This window comes from Homo sapiens, chromosome 1 (genome assembly GCF_000001405.40).
Source record: "Homo sapiens chromosome 1, GRCh38.p14 Primary Assembly".
NCBI lineage: Eukaryota > Metazoa > Chordata > Mammalia > Primates > Hominidae > Homo > Homo sapiens.
The window spans coordinates 31,517,854-31,525,124 of NC_000001.11; the positions used below are offsets into that span (position 1 = coordinate 31,517,854).

The following is a 7,271-nucleotide window of genomic DNA, read 5'->3' on the forward strand; positions in this document are numbered from 1 at the left end:
ATAAAATCAGTCTACTACTCCATAACAGAGGTAAGGAAGAGTATGCATGGAATACAGGACATCCTTTAGAGCATCTCTTAGTATTACCATGCCCTTTGATTAAGGTCAATGGGAAACTACAATAGCGCAATCCAGGCAGGACTACAAATAGCCCAGACCCCTCAGGAATGAAGGTTTGGGTCACTCCACCAGGAAAAAAACCACAACCTGCTGAGGTGCTTGCTGAAGGCAAAGGGAATACAGAATGGGTAGTAGAAGAAGGTAATCATCAATACCACCTATGACCATGTGACCAGCTGCAGAAATGCGGACTGTAACTATCATGAGTATTTCCTCCTTCTTTGGCTAAAAACATGTTTGTGCATGTATACACTTGTACGAAGAAAATATATCCATTTTATTTCCTTTTCCTTTATCATGTGACATAAGATTTACTGACTTCATATCAACATTTAAGTATTATTAACTTTATGTAATAATATTTGGGTTGGGGATTGGTGGGTTTCCAGTTGTACCAAGGATAGTTGTATTATTTTAGGCATAATTATGACCTTATTATTGTCTTTATTTGAAGATTATGTATGATCTCAGGAGATGTGTATGGGTTCAGCTTGACAAGGGGTGGACTTACCATGGTTAATACTGAGTGTCAACTTGATTGGATTAAAGATGCAAAGTATTGATCCTGGGTGTGTCTGTGAGGGTGTTGCCAAAGAAGATTAACATTTGGGTCAGCGGGCTGGAGAAGGCAGACCCACCCTTAATCTGGTGGGCACCATCTAATCAGCTGCCAGCGAATATACAGCAGGAAGAAAAAGGTGAAAAGGCAAGACTGGCCTAGCCTCCCAGCCTACATCTTTCTCCCATGCTGGATGCTTCCTGCCCTTGAACATCAGACTCCAAGTTCTTCAGTTTTGAGACTTGGACTGGCTCTCCTTGCTCCTCAAGCTTGCAGACAGCCTATTGTGGGACCTTGTGATCATGTAAGTTAATACTTAATAAACTCCCTTATATATATATATATATCCTATTAGTTCTGTCCATCTAGAGAACCCTAACACAAGTGTTTTCTTCATTTTCCTTCATATTTATGAAGTGTGCTTTCTTGCCATCCTTTCCAGACTCATCACCTTATGTTATTAGTTGACTTTTTAAAAATCATTATTATTATTTGAGATGGAGTCTCGCTCTGTCACCCAGACTGGAGTGCAGTGGTGTGATCTTGGCTCACTGCAACCTCCATCTCCCCAGTTCAGCCGATTCTCGCGCCTTAGCCTCCTGAGTAGCTGGGACTGCAGGTGTGGGCCACCACGCCTGGCTAATTTTTGTGTTTTTAATAGAGATAGGGTTTCACCGTGTTGGCCAGGCTGGTCTCAAACTCCTGACTTCAAGTGATCTGGCTGCCTTAGCCTCCCAAATCGCTGGGATTACAGGCATGAGCCACTGTGCCCAGCCTCTAACTCTCTTTTAACATAAATTAATTCCTCTTCCTATATTTGTTCTCAGTGCTATTGACTTCCTGAAGAAACTGTGTCAATTCTCATGTAGAGTTTTTACACTAGGGATACAGTCACTTGCTTCTTTATACTTCATGGGATACCTTGTAAGTCTCCAGTGCATCACACCTGGAGGCATATGATGTCTGCTGGTCTTGCTTTTAATGATGCTAAGATCTATCTTTAGGTTCAGGCAATGGCAACCTTACCCTTCACTGAGAAGTTCTCCATCAACCTTTCACTGAGTGATTTTGGCATCCATTGAAAACCATTGCTTGAATCAGTTATTTTCTTAGGGGCTTAAAAAATGATAATTTTCTGATTCTAATTTTTTCTTCATGTAGTAGCTGAAATTCTTCTGCATAGAAGAGCTTTCCTTCATTCATTTTGGCTATTTAATTACCAGAAAATGCAGTTAGGCATAAAAAATGCTTAATTCTTTTCCTTTAATTAACAATTTTTAGAGTAATAAGTTGGTGCCCCAACTTCCCCAACGGTGCCCAGTAACTTTTATTTTCTTTCTGTATCTTCTTTTCTTCTCCTGCTCTTTTTCATCTGCTGGCTAGAAGTAGGGTACTTCAATACCCTAGGAGATGGCAAGACCTCATGAAGGAAGTTGCCTGGGTCCCTGAATGACTACATGGAGCTAATTCCTTCCTGTGACTTGGGGAAGAATGGGACTGTGATGGGAACAAGAAATGAGCTTTCTTAGTCACAACCCACTGAGATTGTGATGGTTTGTTACAGCATTGACCCTATCCTGACCAAACAGCTATTACATTTTTATTCTTTTTTATTTTTTTTTTAAATTCTTTTTGAGACAGAGTTTAGCTCTTGTTGCCCAGGCTGGAATGCAATGGTATGATATCGGCTCACTGCAACCTCCGCTTCCCAAGTTCAAGCAATTCTTCTGCCTCAGCCTCCCAAGTAGCTGAGATTTCAGGCGCCCCCCACCAGGCCCAACTAATTTTTTGTATTTTTAGTAGAGACCGGTTTCACCATGTTGTCCAGACTGGTCTTGAACTTCTGGCCTCAGGTGATCCACCTGCCTTGGCGTCCCAAAGTGTTGGGATTACAGGCGTGAGCCACTGCGCCTGGCCTACATTTTTAATTTCTAAGAGCTCTTTCTTGTTCTCTGATTGTTTCTTTTCCATAGCATAGTGTTCTTGTTTTATGCATATCTCTTCTGTTTCTGATGATGTTTAACTCTTAATGACACATTCTTCTGTTCTGTGCATTTTTTTCTGCCTCTCCTGACTTCCTTTTTATTGTTTGTGGGTTTTGCTCTCAATTTCAACTAAAACTAGTTTAACATTTATTTGGAGGAGGAACAACATTATGTGGAGGAAGGTTTAGAAAAAGGAAGGTTTCTTTTGACAGTCCTTGGCTTCTCTTTCCTGTCCTAAACAATTCAGCTGTGGTCCACATTTGCTCACCCTAATTACTAGCAAAGCAAGAGCCTAATATTTACCCAGACAGAATCTTCTAGGAAGGCAATCAACTCCCAGCCATTATGATTGAGGCATGCCTCTTAGAGAACTCACTGACATTCCAAGCAGCTTATCAAACAATCCTTCCAACACTTCATTTTCTCAGGTTTTAGCACCTCTTACGAATGAGTGTCTGAGCAGCCAAAAAATAAATAATGAATCATCCAGGCAAAGGGGAAGAAAAATGGACTTGGCCAGAGATGGGGAAGAACGTACGCAAAAAGGTGAGATGAGAGGGAGCCTAGGTAATATGACTTATTACAAGCAGAGCAGCTCTGCGGAGGGGTGGATAATGAGGAGGGCTACAATGCAAGATGAGGCAGAAAGAAAGGTCTGGGCCAGACTAAGCGGGGGCTCCTAAGCCCTGTTCTTGACGTTCTCATGAAATACTTCAGGAGAGAGAACACACCCTACTGGGGAACTGGGGAGAAGTTCCATTTGAACCAGACCTGGAAGGAAGACTGGGACTTGTTAAAACAGATAACAGGCTGGGCGCAGTGGCTCACGCCTGTAATCTCAGCACTTTGGGAGGCCAGGGCTGGCAGATCATGAGGTCAGGAGATCGAGACCATCCTGGCTAACATGGTGAAACCCCGTCTCTACTCAAAAAAAAAAAAATTAGCCAGGCATGGTGGCACACACCTGTAGTCCTAGCTACTTGGGAGGCTGAGGCAAGGGAATTGCTTGAACCCAGGAGGTGGAGCTTGCAGTGAGCCAAGATTGCACCACTGCACTCCAGCCTGGTGACAGAGCGAGACTCCATCTCAAACAGACAAACAAACAAACAAACAAAAAAACAGATAACAATAGAAGTACCATTGAAATATATATATATATATATATATATTTTTTTTTTTTTGAGATGGAGTCTCACTCTCCCAGGCTGGAGTGCAATAGCATGGTCTTGGCTCGCTGCAACCTCCGTCTCCTGGGCTCAAGCGATTCTCCTGCCTCAGCCTCCTGAGTAGCTGGGATTACAAGTGCGTGCCAACACACCCAGCTAATTTTTGTATTTTTGTACGGACGGGGTTTCACCATGTTGGCCAGGCTGGTCTTGAATTCCTGACCTCAGGTGATCAGCCCACCTCATCCTCCAAAAGTGCTGGGATTACAGGCATGAGTCACCGTGCCCGGCCCATTGAAAGATTTTCAAAAGGGATTAACCATGATCACATCTGTTCTTAGATGAGGTCGTTCAGATTGGAAGTTGGATTGGAGGGCGGACCAAAGGAGAAGCTGCTGAAGTAGATGTTAAAGATGGAGAGAAGTGGACGGCAGAGACATAGAGGAGGAAAAGTCAGCAAGACCCGAGATGTGTATGGAGAGTTAGAGTGTGGGAAGTGTGACATGTAACTGAATCGGATGATGGCAACTTTCACTGGGCAGTGAAAGGTCAGGTTGGTGGTAAAAGTCATGAGTTGACTTTGGGGCATCTTGATATAGTCACTTCCAATATCATGTGTTTCAACAAGCCCGTGTTCCTTCCTGGTCAGTTCCCCCAGCTAGAGTGTGTTTTACATCCCGCAGCATTGTATGAGAACTGCTAGAATATCACTCACCACTTCCCATAGAGATTCTGTTTGTTCATCTGCTTGTCCCACTGTGTGCCTTACACATAGTAGGTGCTCTTGGAATGTGTGTGAGATGGATTAACATGAGAAGTGCTTCTCTGCATGATTTCACCATTGAAGTGTTGAAAGCAACTAGCACTCCTCCTTCCTGACCTCCAGGCTTCCACCCAGCTGTGGGGACTGCTGTGGTGGAAGGGCCTAGTCTGAATCTGGACAGGGGAGGTGCCTGCAAATATTTTCGTGCCTGCAAATATTTTTGTGCCTCGGGACAGATGGATGTCCAGTTTACTGTCTGCTTCCTCAGTGGTTCTAGAGGTAATTGCATCCTGCTGTGTACAGTTAGGTCGTGGAGGAGACAGGCACCTTCTCTCGTCTTTCTGGAAGGTAACCAGAGGTCTTTCCCCTTTCCTATCATGGCAGCTGCTCAGTCGCAGGCTCCAGATGTCTGCTTCAGAATTCAAGAACACCTTCCTGAGCTGGGAAACAGATCCAAGGAAATATCAGCCAGAGGCTTCATTTTATCATCTGTGGAAATGCAAGATGTTAGAGCACCTAGGAGGGTCTTAACGTGCAAAACACTGTCTTGAGGCTGCCTGCAGAACAGAGGGTCATCTGCTTTCATTAGATTCTCAAGGGAGCCTCAACAGGCTACACCTGAACCCCAGGTTTGGGGCATCTCTCCAGCCCTCCCAGCTCTGACATCATCATCACCATTAACAGCTGAAATGTGTGAGGTGGTTGGGATGTACCAACAACCCTCCCAAGAGTCCCATATCTACCTGACCTCATTTGACCTTCACAGCAACCCAGTGACTCAGCTGCTATTTGGCCCACGTTTTACAAACCTGAGTCAGTGTGCTTTACCTCAGTGACCCAAGAACCCAGGTGCTAGAGTCAGGCCTGCATCCAAATCAGGGGTGGGATCAGTGGTGTGCCCTGAACAAATCATTATCCTCTTTTTTGTTTTATTTTTTGGAGACAGAGTCTCACTCTGTCACCCAGGCTGGAGTGCAGTGGTACAGTCTCAGCTCACAGCAACCACTCTCTCCTGGGTTCAAGTGATTCTCCTGTCTCAGCCTCCCAAGTAGCTGGGGACTACAGGTGCGTGCCACCACGCTCAGCTAATTTTTGTGTTTTAGTAGAGACAGGGTTTCACCATGTTGCCTAGGCTGGTCTCGAACTCCTGAGCTCAGGTGATCCACCTGCCCCGGCCTCCCAAAGCACTAGGATTACAGGCGTGAGCACCCCACCCAGCTCATTACCCTCTTTTAACTTCAATTTTCTCATCCACAAAATGAGGGCAATAATCTCCTTTCTTCCCCACTAGCCATGTTCATGAAAGTACTTATTTGCCCATTTTAAAATATGTAGCAATGTGCCCCAGAAAGGCTGGGGCATGAGTCCTGCTTGGGGTGGAGCAGGGAAGGCCTGCTCTGCCCCACTGGGGTGTCCTCAGATGAAAGTGGGTGTGGGCTGACTTTCTCTGAGCTCCCTGTGGAGTCACACGGGGAACTGGGTTGAGTCACAGCACAAGGGCACTCACATGCCCCACCCCGAGGAGGTCCCTGTTCTGACAGAAGCCCTGAGCCGTGACTGTGGACTGACACCCACTGCCTCTGTGACCTTGGGTGGGTTACATAACCTCCCACATGAGAAGGAGGCGGAGGCACCCGGGCTTGTGGCCTGAGCTAACCTGGGTAGTGGGAGCCCTATCTGTGAATTGCCAAGGGACTGCCATGGGGACTGGTGAGAACACAGCTCTGCAAGGCCCTTTTGATTTGTTTTAACCTTTAACTTTTCAAAAATTTCAAATTTAAAGGATGCATGACACAGTTGAAGTTTATCACAAATGGACTCACGAGTGTGTCTCCTCAGCTCCCAACTCCCGGACTCCTGACCTCCAAGGCCAATACTTCGAATTCTGTTAGGCATTTCTTCTAGCATTTATCTCAATAGTTCCAAATAACAAGCTCGTGATGCGATTTCACAACCCTTGCTTCAAATGTCATGTATTGACTTTCCATATGAGGGATGGTCCTTGTTTCTGTTATATCTCCCTGCTTCCTCTTTTCAGTTCTCTGAATATATGTTTTAAAAATTTAGGCTGGACGCGGTGGCTCACGCCTGTAATCCTAGCCCTTTGGGAGGCCGGGGCAGGCAGATCACCTGAGATCAGGAGTTTGAGAGCAGCCTGGCCAACATGGTGGAACCCCTTCCCTACAAAAATACAAAAATTAGCCGGGCATGGTGGCATACGCCTGTAGTCACAGCTACTCTTCAGGCTGAGGCAGGAGAATTGCTTGAACCGGGAGGTGGAGGTTTCAGTGAGCCAATATTGCGCCATTGCACTCTAGCCTGGGTGATAGAGCCAGACTCTGTCTCAACAAAACCCAAGGGCGGAGGTTGCAGTGAGCCAAAATCATGCCACTGCACTCCAGCCTGGGCGACAGTGTGAGACCCTGTCTTAAAACAGAGCAAACAAACAAACAAAAAAAAAAAAAAGAGAGAAAGAAAATGGGAGAAGGGGGCTGTTCCATGAAAGGGCCTTATATCCAAAATGACCCCCAAATGCCAAAGGAGCTGGAAACCAGAAAAGGAGGGAAACAAATTCAGTTTGGTCTAGAGTGTTTTACTGGGGGAGAACTTACAGGCAGAAGCGTAGTCTTGGGATTTTAGCTGCAAGGCAGAAGATAGATCTCCACACTGCTACTCCC

General features: G+C 45.5%; 1 long non-coding RNA gene across 1 annotated transcript; it reads left to right on the forward strand.

Moving 5' to 3' along the window:
- The first annotated feature begins 581 nt into the window (after positions 1–581).
- On the forward strand, positions 582–6,392 carry LINC01226 (long intergenic non-protein coding RNA 1226). Its single transcript, NR_027085.1, has 3 exons — positions 582–983; positions 3,093–3,210; positions 4,172–6,392. It is a non-coding gene; the product is annotated as a long intergenic non-protein coding RNA 1226 (long non-coding RNA).
- Positions 6,393–7,271: the final 879 nt, after the last annotated feature.